The sequence below is a fragment of the Homo sapiens genome, chromosome 16, assembly GCF_000001405.40.
Source record: "Homo sapiens chromosome 16, GRCh38.p14 Primary Assembly".
NCBI classification, from domain to species: domain Eukaryota; kingdom Metazoa; phylum Chordata; class Mammalia; order Primates; family Hominidae; genus Homo; species Homo sapiens.
In genome coordinates this window covers 18,236,928-18,257,550 of record NC_000016.10, presented here as the reverse complement: position 1 = coordinate 18,257,550, position 20,623 = coordinate 18,236,928, and the positions used below count along the sequence as shown (strand labels likewise).

The 20,623-nt window shown below is 45.2% G+C and overlaps 1 long non-coding RNA gene across 1 annotated transcript; it reads left to right on the top strand.

Annotated features, from left to right (window-relative positions):
- The first annotated feature begins 1,246 nt into the window (after window positions 1-1,246).
- Window positions 1,247-19,261, top strand: LOC105376751 (uncharacterized). The gene is made up of 3 exons (XR_933149.3): window positions 1,247-1,320; window positions 2,500-2,790; window positions 19,162-19,261. It is a non-coding gene; the product is annotated as an uncharacterized LOC105376751 (long non-coding RNA).
- The last annotated feature ends 1,362 nt before the right edge of the window (window positions 19,262-20,623 follow it).

Below are 20,623 nucleotides of genomic sequence, written 5' to 3'. Positions count from 1 at the left end.
AGTGCTGGGATTACAGGCGTGAGCCACCGTGCCCGGCCAAGAGAGACTTTTCTACACTTTTTAATTATGTTATTTTTAAACTGAAAACTGTATTTCCTATTTCTTAGTGTTAGAAAGAAAGAGAAATCCCTCAGAACAATCAGCAGCCTGGAGCATAGTTTGAGACTCCCACTAACAGAGCCAAGAGTCTCAAACTAGGCCAACAGGTACCCTTGGGGAACCCTGCTGTATCCCTGGGACATAAAAAACTACAGTACAAACATCATCATCTTCCTGGAGGATGAATAAACTTTAGCAGAGTAATAGTAACTTAAAACACATGTGGCACAAAATAGAACGCAGAGTTCACAAATACCTAAGGTAAAATAAGACTTCAAAGAAAATTTCACCCTTGCAGAGGTTATTTTGGGCTACACTCCACAGAGTATGAATTCATTCTCTTTTCCTCTCAGGGATAGTTTGTTAAGAGTCTGAAAACCACTGCTCTGGGCAAACTGCCCTCCGGAGTCACACACAAAAAATCAATCTCGTTACTAAAGATAAATTTTATTTCAATAAAAATTGTAATGAGCTTGATCACCTACCCTTTTCACCTGACTTGGCTACAAATGACTGCCAACTGTTTAAAAAAAAAAAATCCAACCGACCCTCAGAGCTAATATGCTATTACTTTTAAAGATTACAGACAGGCCAGGCGTGGTGGCTCACGCCTGTAATCCCAGCACTCTGGGAGGCCAAGTTCCTATTTCTTAGTGTTAGAAAGAAAGAGAGAGAAATCCCTCAGAACAATCAGCAGCCTGGAGCATAGTTTGAGACTCCCACTAACAGAGCCAAGAGTCTCAAACTAGGCCAACAGGCACCCTTGGGGAACTCTGCTGAGGCTGAGGCAGGAGAATTCCCGGAACCCGGGAGGCGGAGGTTGCAGTGAGCTGAGATCGCGCCATTGCACTTCAGCCTGGGCAGCGAGAGCGAGACTCGGTCTCAAAAAAATAAAAAAATAAAAAAGCCTCTCTTGTGTCCTTGTCCCCAGCCTTCCAGCTCTCCTCTGAGGGAACCAGTTTTCAAGATGGCCCGCAACAATCCCTGCCTGCTGCCATTCACACCTTGTTTAGTCCCCTCCCACGCTGGAAAGATCCATGTTGGGGCTCGTGTGTGACCAATGCCGCAGAAGTGATGTTATGTCACTTCCGCGATTACGTCATGAAAGACTGCAGCTTCCATTGTTGGCTCTTTCTCTCTCTTTCTTGGATCAGTCGCTTTGGAGGAAGCCAGCTGCCATGTTTTGAGGACACTAAGGCACTTTACGGAGAGGCCCACGTGGTGAGGAATTGAGGTTTCTGTCTAAGAGCCAGTAAGGGATAGAGACAACCACACAGTGAGCCTGGAAGCCTAGTCTTCAGCCCCAGAAACGCTCAGATGACTGCAGTCCTGGCTGACATCTTACCTGCAGCCTCATGGGAGACCCTAAGCCAGAGCACTTAGCTGAGTTGGCTTGTGGGTTCCAAATCCAGACAATTAGATGATAAATGCTTGTTGTTTTATATTTAGTTTTAGTTTTTGTGACTACATCGTAGGTGTATATATTTATGGGTTACGTGAGATATTGTAGGCATGCAATGTGTAATTATCACATCAGGCCAAATGGGGTATCCATCATCTCAAGCGTTTTCCTTTGTGTTACAATCTAATTATTCTGTTTTAGTTATTCTAAAATGTACGATTAAATTGTTTTTGATTATAGTCACCCCATTGTGCTAGCAAATAGTAGGTCTTATTCATTCTTTTTTTTTTTTTTTTTGAGATGGAGTCTTGCTCTGTCGCCCAGGCTGGAGAGCAGTGGTGCGATCTTGGCTCACTGCAACCTCTGCCTCCCAGGTTCCAGGAATTCTCCTGCCTCAGCCTCCTGGGTAGCTGGGACTACAGGCGCCTGTCACCACGCCCGGCTAACTTTTGTATTTTTTAGTAGAGATGGGGTTTCACCATATTGACCAGGCTGGTCTCGAAGTCCTGACCTCATGATCCACCCACCTTGGCCTCCCAAAGTGTTGGGATTACAGGAGTAAGCCACCGCACCCGGCCTTATTCATTCTTTCTAACTATTTTTTTGTACTATCATGGTTCACTGCAGCCTCATTTTGACCTCCTGGGCTCAATTGATCCTCCCACCCCAGCCTCCTGAGTAGCTGGGACTGTATGCACATGCCACCATACCTAGGTAATTTTTAAAGATTCTTTTATAGAGATGGGGTCTTCTTATGTTGCCCAGGCTCGTCTCAAACTCCTGGGCTCAAGTGATCCTCTCGCCTCTGCTTCCCAAAGTGCTGGGATAACAGGCATGAGCCACTGCACCCAGTCGATGGCGTGTATTAAAAGGAATGATGATATAAATACTGATGACTAACGTTTATTGAGTGTTTTTTCCATGTCAGGCATTATATCAAGCACTTTACATGCATATGTCATCAGTAAAACATTTGCATTTTTATTTCTTATCACTAGTAAATCCTTCTCCTCCCAGAAGCATTTAAAAATCCACAAACCATGGCTAACTTCCTGTGAAATGGCTTAGTGGGCAAAAATTCAGAATAAGGGGAGTGTGAGTCCATGTCTCCTTTCCAGAGATGAAGAAGTTTCTCTTTTCTGTGCATGAAGAAGACAATGGGATATGGATGACACTAAACCTTTGAAAGTTCCTGCTAACCTCCAGGTGGAAGGAAAGGGCCCACGGTGATCAATAAATGTGTTTGCTATTTTTTGGGTGAAAGGAAGAGAGCCTGCACCTCTGTTGGGGTAGGTTATCCACGCTGTCTGCCTGGGGTCCAGATTCCTGGCATTGATATGACTTCTTGGCTCTCTTGAGCCCTGAATCTGCTTCAAATTCAGAAAGCCCCAAGACTTCTGGGCTCTATAATTACTCTGGGCTTTGGAGAATGGTTTCTCTTATAAGCAAAACAATGGTGGAAACTTGTACCAATGAAGGAAACACACAAGCGTGTAGAGGAACATTGCTGTTTGCTGATGATGCTGGTGGCTGCTTGGGTGAGAGATAAACTCTCCAAAGAGCGTTGGCCCTTTTGTGGCTGCAGGATCTGGGTGAAAGAGATTCTTGTAGTCTATCCTATCACTAGATACTATCTGTCTTAGTCCATTTTGTGCTGCTATAACAGAATACCACAGACCAGGTAATTTACAATGAATAGAAATTTACTTGGCTCACAGTTCTGGAGGCTGGGAAGTCCGAGGTTGAGAGCTTACATCTGGTGAAGGCCTTCTTGCTGCATCATGGTGTGACCCAAGGCATCACATGGGTGAGAGAGAGGGTGAGAGAGAGCACCTGCTCCTGTGAAAACCAGCCCGCTCCCATGATAAAGGCATTAATCCATTCAGAAAGATGATGTCCCCATGATCCAAACACCTCTTGAAGGCCTCACCTCTCAACACGGTTGCATCAGGGATTAAGTTTCCAGCACTTGAACTTTGGGGAACACATGCAAACCATAGCAATATCTGTGCCGGATATTTTGTATTTGCTCCTTTACATCCACTGTCCACCCCCATTTCCTGCTTTGTACCCCAGGAGGCTGACTTCTATGGACTACATCACATGTGGTCTCCCATCCTCTTGTGGCTGCTTGGGTTTGGCCAATGGGGTGGGGATCATAGAATACTAGAAGGTGGGAGGAGAGAGGGATTCGGATATTTATTTCTGTGGCTCCTTCCTGTTGGGTTGCCATAGGTTGGAAGCTCCTGCCAGGCAGCTGTCTTTCCCTGAAGACTGTGGCTACTCTCCTTGGGTTCCATAACTATTTCCCCTCCAGGTCTAGGGGTAGAAATGGCTCCTCACTGCTGCTAGTTAGGGCTACTGCAACCTCCCTTTTTGTTTTTGTTTTTTTTAATCCCACTTATACAGCTATATATAGCCCTTTGCTAAACTCTTTTTAGTTACCCCATTTGAGTTTACTATGTATTTCCTGCCACAACCTTGATTGATACAGCAGCCCAGAGAAGGGAAGCAATTAACTTTCTCACTCCTTTATTCATTCATCCAACCTCCCTTCAACACTTACTCTATGCCAGGACTTGTGCTGAGGCTTTTAAGAATGAGACATGATTTCTTGTCTATGTCCCTGAGTTCTCAGTTGTTCACCCCAGAAACTGACTCTTACCAAAGAAAGAGAACATGCCGAAGGCACTGCTGAAGGCCCAGCCTTGGAAAACACCCCATACAAGGTGACTCCAGATAGCTTTATAGCGGCAACTCCTCCAAGGGCATGCGTTAGGGATAGGCTGATCTGGGGACCCCTGCTCTCCCTGCAGAGAATTCATGGAAACCCAATAGGGCCTGTGTTCTTGCATCATGAGTCAAGGTGCCAAGAGAGATCACCTGATTGGCTGATCCAGAGTCACACGGTTGGGGGAGGGTATACAAAGTGGAGGGCTCACCACAGCGGTCAGAGATAAGGCTGCTCCTTGCAGCTCTGTTTTTTGCAATTCCTCTTGGACCCTCCCCAGTTCGGCCACCACCCTTGAGGCTAGCAAGGGTGAGTTGTGTCAGAAGCATTCCATGCAAGGAAATAACAACTTGGAATCCAAATATATTCATTAGTAAGTAATGGAAACCTGAAATTGCTTAAACAAGATGGGACATTATTCTCTCACATTAAAAGGAATTTGGGGGTAGGTGAGTCTAGGGTTGGTTTATTCAGTAGTTCAGTTGTATCATCAAAGACCTGGGCTCTTGCCATCTTTGTGCTCTGACTTACAGAGCAAGGGCTTAATTCCAGTCTTTTCCTCTAATGAGCACAAAATGGGTGCCACAGTGCCTTACATCACATCCTAACACAATAACGTTCAATGTCCAAAGGTCAGAGGAGAAAATGTGTCTTCCTTGTGTCCATTGTTGACAGCAAGGAGGAAATTTCCATCAACTCTCATTGGTCACAATGGGTCACGTGCCTATTCGAAAGCAATCACTAGACAGGGGGTCAGTATTACTATGATTAGTTTAGGTCAGTCAAGATTCACTCCTTGAGGCTCAGAAGGGCAACTTCTCCTAAAGCATGTGACTGTTCAATACTTTAAAAATTGGGGTTCTCTTAGCAACGGAGAAGAGAGGCTCTTTTTTTGACAAGCAATCGTAGCATCTATCAAAGCATAAGAAAAGCTTGTGAGTGATGAGGTTGGAGACTGAGAAGGTTCCAGAACATGACATTCTGGTGAAGTAGGCAGGACCCAGGAATCTCAAAAGTGACCCAATGTCACAGAGTCTGTTGGTGGCAGAGGAATTGAGGCATCTAGAGGCATCTAGGCAGAGTGATTGAGGCATCTCACTTTCTACGCAGAAAAGGAGGCATTTGCTCCACAAAAGCCTCCTGCTAATTCCAGGGACCTTTCGCTGTAGAGACAACTTTATGGCATCAGTGACAACTTTGGCCTCATTGTCCTGACAGAGCCTAGAATGGTGCTATCTTTGGGCTTCATATCTGTGAGGCACTCAGAAATGTATGAAGCATTTCCAAGTCCATGGTCTCATTTGCTCTCCACTTTGCAGTGGGGAAACTGAGGTTCAGACAGGTGAAGAGACCCGATCAAGGTCACATAGCTGGAGAGCAGGAAACACTGAGCTCAACCCCAGATATTTTAACCAAAGGTTTTAGTTCTCTGCCTTCCTGCCTTCTAGATAACTCCATACAGTCTGCAGGGTAGATCCTCAATCATGATGTATGAAAAGCGTGAATGAATGCAAAAAAAAAAAAAAGGTTTAAAAAAGCTGTGCAAGCTGGGCACAGTGGCTCACACCTGTAATCTCAGCAATTTGGGAGGCCAAGGTGGGAGAATGTCTTGAGGCCAGGAGTTTGAGACTAGCCTGGGCAACATAGTGAGACTCCTTTTCTATAAAAAATTTAAAAATTAGCTGGGTATGGTGGTGTGCATCTGTAGTCCCAGCTACTTGGAAGGCCTAGGTGGGAGGATCACTTGAGCCCAGGAGTTCAAGACCAGCCTGAGCAACCTAGGGAGAGCCCGTCTCTACAAAAACTAATATAAATTAGCAAGGTGTGGAAGTGCATTTCTGTAATCCCATCTACTTGGGAGGCTGAGGTGGGAGGATTGCTTGGGCACAGGAGGTCGAGGCTGCAGTGAGCTGTGATCACACCACTGCACTTCCAGCCTGGGTGACAGAGTGAGACCCTGTCTCAAAAAATAAAGTAAAAAAGTTGTGCAAAGATAAAAACCCAGTTATGACTCCCATTGTGGACCCATAAATAAAGCAAAGTTATCAAATAGAGATGTGTGAGCTGCTGAATGGAACAGAACTCACTGGGTTTATGGGGCTGTGTCAGGCACCTCTGACAATGCCAGATATTTACTTTGCAGATGAATGACTTCATTGCTTGCCCCAAATGCATCACTGGTGGGTAATATTTATGCAGATTGGAAGCATTCTCCCTCCTTTATTTGGTCCTGGGCTGTTTGTAACCATTGGATTTTTTTACCTTTTGACTTGACGTTGTTCTTCACGGGACCGTGGTATGGGATGCATTTCAATAAACAATACCAAAGTGACAGATTTCGGCTTTAAATAAAATTGTGTTCCGTAAAGTGGGAGACAAAGGCTTATAACTCACTGTCGGCTGCAGACATTTTGGCAAAAATTATCTCTCCGGCTTTGATCTCCACTGTATCATTTTACTGAGTGGCCCCATGTGCTCTATCAATCAAACCCACTGAAGATGCAGGAGAATCACATTTAAAATCAAATACAAATTGTAGATTCATCTGCCCAGGAGGAAGAGAAATGTGACATGAATCCTGCCTTCAGTCTTCTATGATTACAACGGAATTAGTTTTTGAAAACTCCAGAGGATGGTTTTCCACTTCCCAACTTTCATATTATTATTATTATTTTTGAAGGGGGTAACATTAGATGGGTAGAGAGGTAGACTAAAGTGATTCAGCTGTGAGATCGGAGTCTCGCCTTCCATCTAACTGTAGGTTAGGGCCTTTTAATATTCCTCTGACAGAGATTCTTTATGTAGGAAGGGATGTTAAGAAGAAAGATGTTCTCTAACAAGAAAACATTTAGACAAAGAGGATATGACCTCCCTCACTCAATCTCGCCTGCTTTCTTGGCATACATGGGAAGAGAGGATGAACTAGAAAGGAAATATTATTTGCTGATCTCCTTTCTTTGTCTGAGGCACATTGCACAGGATGTCTCATTTGATATTCACATGCCCATGCGAGGTGAACAATCCACACCATGCTTTACAGAAGGGGAAACTGAGGTCAAGAAACATGCTCATGGGCCGGGCGCGGTGGCTCACGCTTGTAATCCCAGCACTTTGGGAGGCTGAGGTGGGCGGATCATGAGGTTCAGCATTCGAGACCAGCCTGGCCAACATGGTGAAACCCTGTCTCTACTAAAAATACAAACATTAGGCCAGGTGTGGTGGCATGCGCCTGTAATCCCAGTTACTCGGGAAGCTGAGACAGGAGAATCGCTTGAACCCGGAAGGCAGGAGGTTGCAGTGAGCTGAGATTGCACCATTGCACTCCAGCCTGGGCAAAAAGAGCGAAACTCCGTCTCAAAAAAAAAAAAAAAAAGAAAGAAAAACAAATATTAGCCGATCATCGTGGCACGTGCCTGTAATCCCAGCTACTCAGGAAGCTGAGGTAGGAGAATCGCTTGACCTCATGAGGTGGAGGTTGCAGTCAGCCAAGATCGTGCCACTGCACTCCAACCTGGGTGACAGAGCAAGGCTCTGTCTCAACAAAAAAAAAAAAAAAAAGAAAAAGAGAAAAGAAACATGCTTATGGCTGAAGAGCTGAGCCCAAGTCTATGTGATTCTGAATAACATGCTTTTAATTTAATTAATTAATTAATTAATTTACTTATTTATTTATTTGAGACAGGGTCTCACTCTGTCTCCCAGGCTGCAGTGCCATTGCACCATCATGGCTTGGCTCACTGCAGCCTTGACCTCCTGGGCTCAAGTGATCCTCCCACCTCAGCCTCCCAACTACCTGGGACTACAGGCACACACTGCCATGCTCAACTAATTTTTTTTTTTTTTTTTGCATTTTTTGAGGAGACGGGGTCTTACTATGTTGCCTAGGCTGGTCTTGGACTCCTGCATTCAATTGACCCTCCTGCCGCGACCTCCCAAAGTACTGGGATTATAGGCTTTAGCCACTGTGCCCAGCCTAAAACTTTTGAGAAAGAATGCTTCTTGTTGATTGTCTCCCCTCTCTATTACTTTAGTGTCTGGCATATAGTAGGTGCTTGAAAGCACCTGTTTAGTGCCTAAGCCAGGGGCTGACAACCTTACTGTAAAGGCCCAGATAGTGGATTATCTGAGGCTTTGGGGGCCATGTGCTCTCTTGCAACCATGCAACCCTGCCATTGTAGTGCAAAAGCAGCCACAGACAATACTTTATTTATAAACTCTGAAATTGGAATTTCATATAATTGTCATGTAATGACGTATTATTCCTTTTGTCTTTTTCCCACTAACTATTTAAAATGTAAGAACTAGCTGGGCGCAGTGGCTCATGCCTGTAATCCCAGTACTTTGGGAGGCCGAGGTGGGCGGATGACCTGAGGTCAGGAGTTCGAGACCAGCCTGGACAACATGGTAAAGCCCTGTCTCTACTAAAAATACAAAAATTAGCCGGGTGTGGTGGCAGGTGCCTGTAATTCCAACTACTCAGGAGGCTGAGGCAGTAGAATCGCTTGAGCCTGGCAGGCAGATGTTGCAGTGAGCTGAGATGGTGCCACTGCACTCCAGCCTGGGCGACAGAGCGAGACTCCATCTCAAAATAATAATAATAATAATAATAATAATAATAATAATAATAATAATAATAATATAAAATGTAAGAACCATTCTTTCTTAGCTTTCAGGCCATAGGAAAACAGGCAGCTCGGATTTGGCCTTCAGGCTGTATTTTGCAGATTCCTGGTCTAAATAATTACCTTAATTATCACAGTAGCAGATACTAGCAGATACTAAGAACTAGTGTATCTCCAAAGTCTAGTTTGGTGCCCGGTACAAACATTCTTTCCCCAAGGTGGAGTCCACTTGACCAGAGTGGAGAGTTACAGTGCTGGGGAAGAGTTGGAAGACATCTCTGCCTGGGGGTGGGGGGAAGGGCAGAGAAATCTCTTGGGGTTTGTTCTGGGGAAACTGGGAATTGTGGGAGAACTGAGGAGGCGGGAAAGGGGACTTTAAGAATATTATTGTGGGCCAGTCGTGGTGGCTCACGCCTGTAATCCCAGCACTTTGGAGGCTGAGGCGGGCAGATCACGAGGTCAGTAGATGGAGACCATCCTGGCTAACACAGTGAAACCCCGTCTCTACTAAAAATACAAAAAAGTAGCCGGCCATGGTGGCGGATGCCTGTAGTCCCAGCTACTCGGGAGGCTGAGGCAGGAGAATGGCGTGAACCTGGGAGGCGGAGCTTGCAGTGAGCTGAGGTCGCACCACTGCACTCCAGCCCGGGCGACAGCGAGACTCTGTCTCAAAAAAAAAAAAAAAGAATATTATTGCAGGTTAGGAATTGGACCTTTTATTACAGAGGTTCTCACTGGGGACTGAATTGTCCCGTGTGTGTGTGTTTGTGTGTGTGTGTGTGTTTGTGTGTGTGTGTGTTTGTGTGTGTGTCTGTGTGTTTGTGTGTGTGTGTGTGTTTGTGTGTGTGTGTTTGTGTGTGTGTGTGTTTGTGTGTGTGTGTGTGTGTGTTTTAAATCTGCAGAGAGCTTTTGGTTGCCCTAATGATAGGGATGGGGGAGTCATTACGGTGTGGGGTAGTTTTTTGAATATATATATGTGTAGATCCCAAATTCATATGGGTTAGAAGAACCATGATTATCAGAGTCTATAACCTTGTTCTATTTTTTTTTTTTTTTTTTGAAACAGAGTCTCACTCTGTCACCCAGGCTGGAGTGCAGTGGTGCCATCTCGGCTCACTGCAACCTCTGCCTCCCCGGTTCCAGCGATTCTCCTGCCTCAGCCTCCCGAGTAGGTGGGACTACAGGCGGGTACTACCACGTCCAGCTAATTTTTGTATTTTTAGTAGAGACGGAGTTTCACCCTGTTGGCCAGGATGGTCTTGCTCTCTTGATCTTGTGATCGGCCCACCTCGGCCTCCCAAAGTGCTAGGATTACAGGTGTGAGCCACCACGCCCGGTCCAACCTTCTTCTATTTTATCTGCCTATTCTATTTTATATGTTTACATGTTCTATTTTACATGTAAGTGTTGAATGAACACTGATGTTTCCAAGAATGTAGCAGCTATGGTGTAAATCAAGAGAAGATTTGACTCTGTTTGGTATGGGAATTTATCAAGAAAGAGCCACTCTTTTGAAGAACATGGCACTCTCAGTAAAGCCGATGCGACAACACACCACGCTGTCTGCGTTTGTGACTGTCACTGGTTATTCTACACACACGTGTGTGAGCACTTGACTGCTTCGCTCCGTCTTTCCTGGTGGAAACCCAAATCATTTCTCTATATATTATTTCATTAGAAATCCTCATCATTTCATTTCTCCTTTTTATTATAATTAGGGCACAATTGTGATTGGTTAGAAGAGTAGATGGGTTATAGGATCAGCACATTTTTTTTTTTTCAGGGTAGAAAAGAGAGCTTTTCAGCTGGGCATGGTGGCTCACGCCTATAATCCCAGCACTTTGGGAGGCTGAGGCTGGTGGATCATTTGAGGTCAGGAGTTCGAGACCAGCCTGGCCAACATGGTGAAACCCTGTCTCTACCAAAAATACAAAAAAAACAATGTACCGGGCATGGTGGCACGCATCTGTAATCCCAGCTACTCGGGAGGCTGAGGCACGAGAATCGCTTGAACTCAGGAGGTGGAGGTTGCAATGAGCCAAGATCCCACCACTGCCCTCCAGCCTGGACTATAGAGTGAGACCCTGTCTCAAAAAAAAAAGAGGGCTTTTCAATTGTTGGTTAAAACATGGGACATTGGATCTGATGGCACCAAGAATGCCTGCCCTGTAACACTGTTTGAGCTGATGTGTGGGGAACTGCTTTTGGATTACTTATGGGTTGCTGAAATATACTTCTTTGAATGCAGAGATTGGGCCCCTGATTATATTTGGGAGGCAAAACCATCACCTTGTAGGCACCTGGCAGGGTAAAATAAATGGATGCTTCTTAGAGGCCAACTGCTCTCTCACTTCCTGTTTCCGTTTTGTTTGCAGCGTAAAGCCAGATGCCTTTTATCTCTTGTATCACTGCTGGTTGTCTGAGAATTTTTTTTTTTTTTTTTTGGACAGAGTCTCGCTCTGTCACCCAGGCTGGAGTGCAGTGGCGCAGTCTTGGTTCACCGCAACCTCTGCCTCTTGGGTTCAAGTGATTCTCCTGCCTCAGCCTCCCAAGTAGCTGGGATTACAGGTGTCCACCACCATGTTCAGCTAATTTTTGTATTTTTAGTAGAGATGAGGTTTCACCATGTTGTCCAGGCTGGTCTTGAACTCCTGATCTCAAATGATCTGCCTGCCTCAGCTTCCCAAAGTGCTGAGATTACAGGCATGAGCCACCACGCCTGGCCTGGGCAGAGTTTTTAAAAATGCTTCAAACTCTCCTTTAGCTCAGTTTCGGTAGAGTCATTCCTTTACAGTATAGTTACAATGGAGCTGCCAATCAGCTCAGGCCACACCCAGCCCACAGTCTCAGAGGGGCTGGGTCCCTGCTCTTTCTCTCTCCCTGAAAAGTGGCTGTTAATTTTCTCCTTTAGTCTCCTTTCCCCAGAAAGATATTTCCCTTTACCTTATGGGAGTTTGATAAAACTGGCGTCTCCGGCCTTCTTTTCCTTATGTTGGTTTTTCTGCCACAAAAGGCCCAGAGACATTGTCTATGGAACGTTTGGCTGCAGCTGGGCAGGCATTTTATTCTATTGGAAAATTCCACTAGGATTTTCTATGATTACAATAGAGCATGGGTCCTCAGTCAAACCCTCCACCACTTATAAGAAGCTCTGTGACTTTGGGGAAGTGACTTAACCTCTCTGAGCCTCACTTTTTCTATTTGGAAAGAGTGATGGGTTGGTAGGTTTTATGTGTTAACTCTTAGGGATACAGGTGCACAGCTATTTGCCTAAACATCATTTTGGGTGTGTTCGTGAGGGCGTTTTGGGATGATTGTCATTTAAATTGGCAGATTGAGGAAAGCAGTTGCCCCTCCTAATGTGGGTGGACTTCATCCAATCCACGGAAGACCTGAATAGAGCAAAAGTCGGTCCTTTCCGAAGTAAGAGAGAATTCCTCCTGCCTGAAGGTTTTTAAACTGCACCATTGGCTTTTTTCTGCCTTTGTACTCAGACTGAAACACTGCTCTTTCCGGGTTTCGAGCCTGCTGGCCTTAGGACTGGAACTAACACCATCAGTTCTCTGGGGTCTCCAGTTTGCTGCCTCGCCCTGCAGATGACAGCACTTGTTAGCCTCCATAATTGCGTGAAATCTCTCTCTGTTTAGACATTGGTTCTGTTTCTCTGGAAAACCCCAATCAATACAGGCGGTGATCATATTTTGAGGATTAAATGATACAATGAATAGAATATGCTTAACACACAGTGAGTGCTTGGCACATATGATCTCCTCAATACACATCAGCTTTATCATGGAAATTATTATGTATCATTATACAAAATATAATAAGATTTCAAACTTGTGTTCTCTTACATGTCCTCTAAATTATTCAATGGAACAAAAAACTCTTCACTCATTTTTGTGTGTATGCAAACTTAATGTCTTTCAATAAAATTTTCCAAGTTATTGTATGTTCGCAAGGACATAATTCTGTTTGACTTCCCATCTTTCCAATACTAGTAGTGAGCCTCATTAGCACATGAATGCTGGGGTCTGTGAGATGTGCTTGCCTTCACTGTCCTGTTTGCCTTGCCCAAGGTGGGCGATGGAAAGGACAAGCCATCTATTATTGGTTGGAGGAAGGACCAACCATCTACTGTGGCAGTCTGCTCAGGCTGCCATACAAAATACCACATACTACGTGGCTTAAACAGGAGACATTTATTGTTCACTATTCTGGGGGCTGGGAATTCGAAGATCAAGGTGCTGGGTGATTTGTTTCTCCAGTGAGGGCCCTCTTTGTGGCTTTCAGTTGGAAGCCTTCTTGTTGTATCCTCACAGGGGAGAGAGAGAGCACGCCAGCATGAGAGAGAGTGCGAGAGAGAGAGGGAGAGATCAAGCAAGAGTGAGAGACAGAGAAAGATATCTCTGGTGTCTCTTCTAATATGGACACATCGCATCTCCAGGACCTTAGGCTTATGATCTCATCTAAACATAATCACCAAAGCCGCATCTTCAAATACCCAAATACCGTAACACTGGTAATTAGGGTGTCAGCTTCGACATATCAGTTTGGGGGTGGAGGCACAAACGTTCATTTCATAGCACTTCCTTTTCCAAAAATGCTCCTTAATCCCTCCCTGCCATCCTTGCTATTCTCATTTGACAGATGAGGAAATTAAGACTCCACGATGTGCCTTAGGTTGCCCATAGCTGTACATCTTATAAGTGCGAGCTCCCCAGATAATTGCATTCATCCACAAGAGCAGAGTTAACCGCAGCGTCATAGCCATCCAGGGAGCGTAATGCCCCGTTAAAAATAACAAAGCGTAGAGACCCAGCCTGAACTGAACATGTGTCTGTGGTTGGGGTTCAGGGTTCTTTGATTTCCAGATCTACCACCCAGATATTTGTCAAGTTACATCTACCTCTGGTGCTCATTTCCATATCTCTAAAACAGAAATAATAACTGAGAGGATTTTGTGGCGTCATGCAGATGAAGTGGCTCTCAAGAGCCTGACTTAGTAAATGTTGGCTGCGTGTTGGGCATTATTAGCTAAGATGTACAAACAGCAGAGGTTTGGTTTGTATGAGTAGATCATATTCCTGCCTGTTGCCACTGAGGGAGAGCAGAGTCCTAAGGGGAGGGGACACAGGTCAGGAGAATTCTAGGGGGTGGGGGATGTTTCTGATTTCTCAACAATGGGTAAATCTGGGAATCTCATGAGAGCTTCAGTGGGTAAATCTTGGAATCTCGTGAGCAAAATGGGGACGTGAAGAAGGAAGAAAAGCTGCTTGGAGGATTGGTGAAGGAGGAGGGAAAGGGGAAAAAAAAAAGGAAAAAAACATTTAGGTGGTGCTAAGTGCCACGCATTTTCCATTTTTGCATCAGTGAATTGTAAAATCACACTGCAAGGCTGGGGATATTATCCCCATTTTACAGATGAGAGAGAGGAGGCTGGGCAAGTTAATGAACTGGTTCAAAGTATCACAGCTAGAGAGTTGGAGCCAAAGTGAGATCGCACAGCTACGCAGACTCTAAAGCCCTTGTCTGTATATTGAATCAAATTTCCCCTTTTTCTGGCTTAGGTAAACTGAGGCAGGAAGTGATGAGAAAGGGTTAAGAGACGTCAGCTGCTCCTTAAACATCTCCCTTCCCAGTGTCATTTGCCATCCATAAACTCTTTCAAAATGTGATAACGGTTTTGATTTTCCTGACATCTCGATTTGATATGAGAAATTTGGGATTTCCAAATTGACAGAAAACTCGATTTTAAAGATGCTGGAAGGCAAACATCTGTGAAAAATCACAGGAACAATGTCAACATCTGTCCCTGTGAAAGGAAATTGCTGAGGTTCTCAATTTACAGCCAATCAATCAATCTTGGAGGCCAGGGTGCTTGCAAATTGAAATGCATGTTGAAGCTATAGGGATGGCTAATTAATTTAGTTTGTATGCCTACAAGATTTTTCATTGTTTCCTATTCAAAAAAATTCTCTTTTGAATAGGAAACGTGTGCATATGGTAAAAAAAAAAAATTAAACAGTACCAGAAAAAGTATACAGTGAAAATTAAGTTTGTTTTCCATCCCAACCACCAGTTCTTCTTCTCCAAGGTCACAAGTGTTGCTGGCTTCTCTTGAAACTTTCCAGAGATACAATCTTTATATAGAAAAACATATGTATATATGTCTCCTCCCGGTTTTATAAATGATAGCCCATTGTACATATTACACTGCATCTTGACTTCATTCAACAATATATCTTTGAGGTTTTTGCATAGCAGTCCATATAGACATTCCTTATTCTTTTTATCAGCTGTGTAGTATTCCAGTATATGGATGTGTATAAATTAATCAGTTCCCTCATGGTGGACATTCAGGATATTTTCTGTCATTCTCCACAATTTATGCTAGTATGTCCATCTTGGTGTGTGTTCATCAGTAGGATACAAATCTAGAGGTGGGCCTCCTGGGCAGATAGGATGTGCATTTAAGGTATGATGCCTTCATGTAAAAGGAAGGTTTTCTTTTCTTTTTTCTTATTTTATTAAGAGACGGGGGTCTCACTATGTTGCCCAGGCTGGTCTTGAACTCCTGGGCTCTAGCAATCCTCCTGCCTCAGCCTTCCAAAATGCTGGGATTACAGACGCGGGCCACCGTGCCTGGCCAGGTTTTCTTTGTTATCTTGGAGGGAGCATCACCCCCATCAAGGAGATCAGATTGGTGAAGGTGGGATGCTGTGTCTGAGAGCTTAATGACTGTTCACAGATATTGTGGCTGCCCTTCTCTAATGTACCTGCTTCTTCAGGCCCAAAAGGTGGAAATGATGTTTGTTTCTTACTTCTTTGGGGCTTTGACTGTGCCATTGAGATTTTGTGCTCAGGGATAAACTACCGTGTATTTACAGTTACCTCAACCTGTGAGGTTTGATGCCTCTTTCTTTCTTTCTTTCTTTCTTTCTTTCTTTCTTTCTTTCTTTCTTTCTGTCTGTCTCTTTCTTTCTTTCTTTCTTTCTTTCTTTCTTTCTTTCTTTCTTTCTTTCTTTCTTTCTTCCTTCCTTCCTTCCTTCCTTCCTTCCTTCCTTCCTTCCTTTCTTTCTTTCTTTCTTTCTTTCTCTCTTTCTCTTTCTTCTTTCTTTCTTCTTCTTTCTTTTTCTTTCTTTCCTCTTTCTCTCTCTCTTTCCCTCCCTCCCTTCCTTCCTTCCTCCATCCCTCCCTTCCTTTCTTGCTTTTTTTTTTTTTCTTGCTTTGCTACCCAGGCTGGAGTGCAGTGGCATGATCATAGCTCACTGCAGCCTTGAACTTCTGGGCTCAAGCAATCTTCCTGCCTTGGCCACCCTGGGATTACAGGTGTGAACTGTGGCGCCCAGCCTTGGCCACTTTCTTTATTCTAAACTTCTTTGTTCCATACTTTGCTTCTTTTCCCTGGATCCATCCCCACCAGCCTCCCTTGTCACTCCAGTGATAGGACACTCAGTCTTGCCAAGTCAATGTAAACCCAGACCCTTCTCATTTAAAACCTAGTCTCTTTGGTAAACAGTCAATTCAGGATTCTCACATCAATCTGAGTTTTAAATCTTAATTAGTTGAAAGATTTTCATATCTCTGTCTTTCCACTTTGGTCACTAGCTTCGCTGTCGGTGCTATACCACTCAGACCTCTGTGCAGGACCACCGAGGCCCTCTGTCCCCCCAGCTGCTGGGAGACCTGGCTGCTAACAGCTCATAGCAAAGTCCTGCCTCTGGCAAGAAGGCACCTGTAGGAAGCCACCTAGTGCTGGGAAATCCTCCTCCCCTCCTAGGCATCCCATAATCCTGGAGGGTTACAAAGGCTCTGTCCCTTGCCCCTCCATATGGGAGTGTATTAGTCAGCATTCTCTAGGGGGACAGAACTAATAGGACAGATGTATATGAAAAGGGGAGTTGATTAAGGAGTATTGACTCACACGATTACCAGGTGAGCTCTCACAATAGGCCATCTGCAAGCTGAGGAGCAAGGAAGCCAGTCCAATTCCCAAAGCCTCAAAAGTAGGGACGCTAACAGTGCAGCCTTCAGTCTGTGGTCAAAGGTCCAAGAGTCCCAAAGCTGAAGAACTCAGAGTCCGATGTTCGAGGGCAGGAAGCATCCAGCACGAGAGAAAGATGAAGGCTGGAAGACTCAGCCAGTCAAGCCCTTCCATGCTGCTCTGCCTGCTTATATTCTAGCTATGCTGACAGCTGATTAGATGGTGCCCACCCAGATTGAGGGTGGGTCTGCTTTTCCTAGTCCACTGACTCAAATATTAATCTTTTTTGGCAACACCCTCACAGACACATCCAGAAACAATACTTTGTATCCTTCAATCCAATTAAGTTGACACTCAGTATTAACCATCACAGGGGGTGTCTCAGGGGTCCTGGCGACTGTTCCACAGTGCCACTCCCCTCTCTGCCCAATGCTGCTTCCTTGCTTTCCAGCAGGTGCTCCTCCCAGTAAACCCCCTGCACCCAGATCTCCATCCCACAGCTTGTCTCTCTAGAAACCTGACCTATGACAGGCTTATAAACACCACAACAGGGCATGGGTATGGGCCAGGAGAGCTACTCCTCTCATCTGCTGAGGGTCCTACCCCAGGACCCCTGGGGAGGGATGAGGTCCCTGTTGTTCATCTGGGTGATCATCTAACTCCTGATGAGCCCAGGAGTTAGAGACCGGCCTGGGCAACGAAGTGAGACCCCATCTCTCCAAAAAAAAAAAAAAAAGTCAAAAAATTAGCCAGATGTGGTACATGCCCCCAGCTACTTGGGAGGCTGAGATGGGAGGATAGCATTAGCCCGGGAGGTTGAGGCTGCAGTGAGCTATGATTGCACCACTGCTCTTCATCCTGGGTGGCAGACTGAGACCCTGTCTCAAAAAAGTTGTCATGGTCCTATGACATTTTTTTAGGTCCTATGCAGGGGTGCAGGTGGAGGTGGTTTCTGGTTCTACCTGACTGTCTTCGTTCAGCCTGGTCCATTTGTTGACTCTGCTACCCAGAAGTGAAAGAATATGGCATCTTTCTCATCTCTATATGGTCCCCATGCAGTAAGGAGTTGACTCAGCCGGTCTGGGGAGTTCAAATCCTGCACATTCCAAAGAAAGCTCTGGCCCTTGACTGGCTCCTGGGAGATAACCGCCAAGTCTTTGGAACATTCTGCCTGATAAGAGTGTCTTTGTTTACCTATGGCCTCAGGCTGAGCTAGCTAGTCCATGCTAACAATGCAATTTATGGTGAGTGCCTGTTTTTGTATGTGTCAGTTTGACCTCTAGAGGGGCTGGAGACTGAGTAACAAAAGTCACCCATGCAGGTGCTCCATGCCTGGGTGATGAAATGCTGATAAAACCCCTGGACACCAAGGCTTGGGGGAGCTGCTGTGGCTGGCAGTACTTTGTATACATTGCTAATTGTCTCTTATAGCTTGGCTGTGTCCCCACCCAAATCTCATCTTGAATTGTAGCCCCCACAATTCCTACGTGTTGTGAGAGGGACCCAGTGGGAAGTAATTGAATCACAGGAGTGGTTTCCCCCATACTGTTTTCATGGCAGTGAATAAGTCTCACAAGATCTGATGGTTTTATAAGGAGAACCCCTTTCACTTGGCTCTCATTCTCTCTTTGCCAGCCGCCATGTAAGACATCCCTTTGCTCTCCCTTGCTCTTCTGCCATGATTGTGAGGCCTCCCTAGTCACGTGGAACTGCGAGTCCATTAAACCTCTTTTTTTTTTCATAAATTACCCAGTCTCGGGTGTGTCTTTATCAGCAGCATGAAAACAGACTAATACAGAGCATTAGGAGCTATCCTTCTAACTCCACTGGGAGAAAACTACTGGAAACTTACCCCTGGTCTCTCTTGGAGAGACCTATGCATCTTGTACCTTGGTTGATTTTAATCTGTATCCTTTTAGTGCAATAAACAATGTTCATGAGGACAATGGCTTTCCTGATTCTGTGGGTCCTTCTGGCAAATCAATGGGCCTGAGGGCGGTCTTGGAGATCCCTGACAAAAGTCACTGTAGCCAGGGACCATCTTCTGTTGAGCTTATTTCAGAGGAAGATGTCATAGGTAACGGGCGTTGGGGGCACCCTGGTTCCATTTGTTGACTCTGCTACCCAGAAGTGAAAGAATGTCGCATCTTTCTCATCTCTGTATGGTCCCCTGCAGTAGAGTTGACTCAGCAGGTCTGGGGAGTTCAAATCCTGCACATTCCTAAGAAAGGTCTGGCCCTTCACTGGCTCCTGGAAGATAACCACTAAGTCTTTGCAACATTGTGCCTGATAAGGGTGTCTTTATTTGCCTTTGTTCTAGTTCTTGTTCTAGGTGCTGGTGATAGAACTGTGAACCAAAGGTCATTGCCTTCAAGGAGTTTATATTCAAGTGGAGAAGATGGAAAACCCTCCCCTCACGAACAAACAGACTCTGAAACCTGATAAATAAATATTAGCATTCAGTGAAGTGTTAATGAGTTTCTGTGAGCACATACAACCCTTACCAGAGTTTATCTCATCCTGCCTGAGCTAGCCCCTGCCTCCCTCCCCAGCCCACATATTTTGCCACACCCTTTTCATTCCTCCCAACATTCCAATTCCTTCAACACATGGAACTCCTTCTCACCCCAGGGCCTTTGCACATGTTACTATCTCTGTATAAATGCATTCCTCTCACTTGACACCTGGATAACTCCTCATTGTCCTAGTCTTAGCTTAAATGTCATCATCTGGCCAGGCATGATGGCTGACACCTGTAATCCCAGCACTTTGGGAGGCTGAGGTGGGAGGTTCGCTTGAGCCCAGGAGTTAGAGACCAGCCTGGGCAATGAAGTGAGACCCCATCTCTACCAAAAGAAAAAAAAATCAAAAAATTAGCTGCATGTGGTGCTGCATGCCTGTAGTCCCAGCTACTTAGGATGTTGAGGTGGGAGAATCATGTGAGCCTGGAAGGTCGAGGCTGCAGTGAACTGTAATTGCACCATTGCACCTCATCCTGGGTGACAGAGTGAGACTGTCTCAAAAAAAAAAAAAAATTCATGACCTTGGGGAAGCCTAGTTGGATACTCTCCTTTTTCCCCAGACCAGCTGGATCTACCATCATAGGCTGTTATAGCATGCATCCAATTCTCTCTTTCTCTTGCTCTTTTTTTTTTTTTTTTTTTTTTGTAGAGATGCAGTCTCACTATATTGCCAGGGCTGGTCTTGAATTCCTGGGCTCAAGCAATCCTCCCACCTCGGCCTCCTAAAGTGCTGGGATTACAGGTGTGAGCCACCATGCCCAGCCTGTTACCTTTCATTTTTATTTCAGTCATCATTCTGAGTGGCTGAGCATATGGATGTGTTGATTGTTGAAATAAATCATTTAGGCAAATTGTTACGGGCCCCATCTAAATTCAGAATCCAGCCCTGGATCTGGTCTGTAATTCTTCCCAGCCACAGTCTTCCCTGTTGGAGTCCGAGTTCTCCACTCTAGACCTGCAGCGGGAAGCTTTCCAGGGACCAGCCAGTTCCACCGCCTCCAGAGCCACCCCTCACCTGCTGACCTCTTCCTATGTTAGCTGCCCCTCTCGCTGCCTGCTGCCCTTCCCCGGGCCAGCTGATACGAGAGCTGGCGATAACTTGAAATGCTCCCCGCAGAAGATAAATGAGAGGGGAATCTCAGCAGGCATTGAGCTCTGTACCTAACGACTGGCAGTTGGGGCTTCTAATTTTAGGCCTGGGGAGGAAGCTGATTTCTGTGATTAAGGTGGCCACACGCTTTATCAAGGGCCAATTTAGCA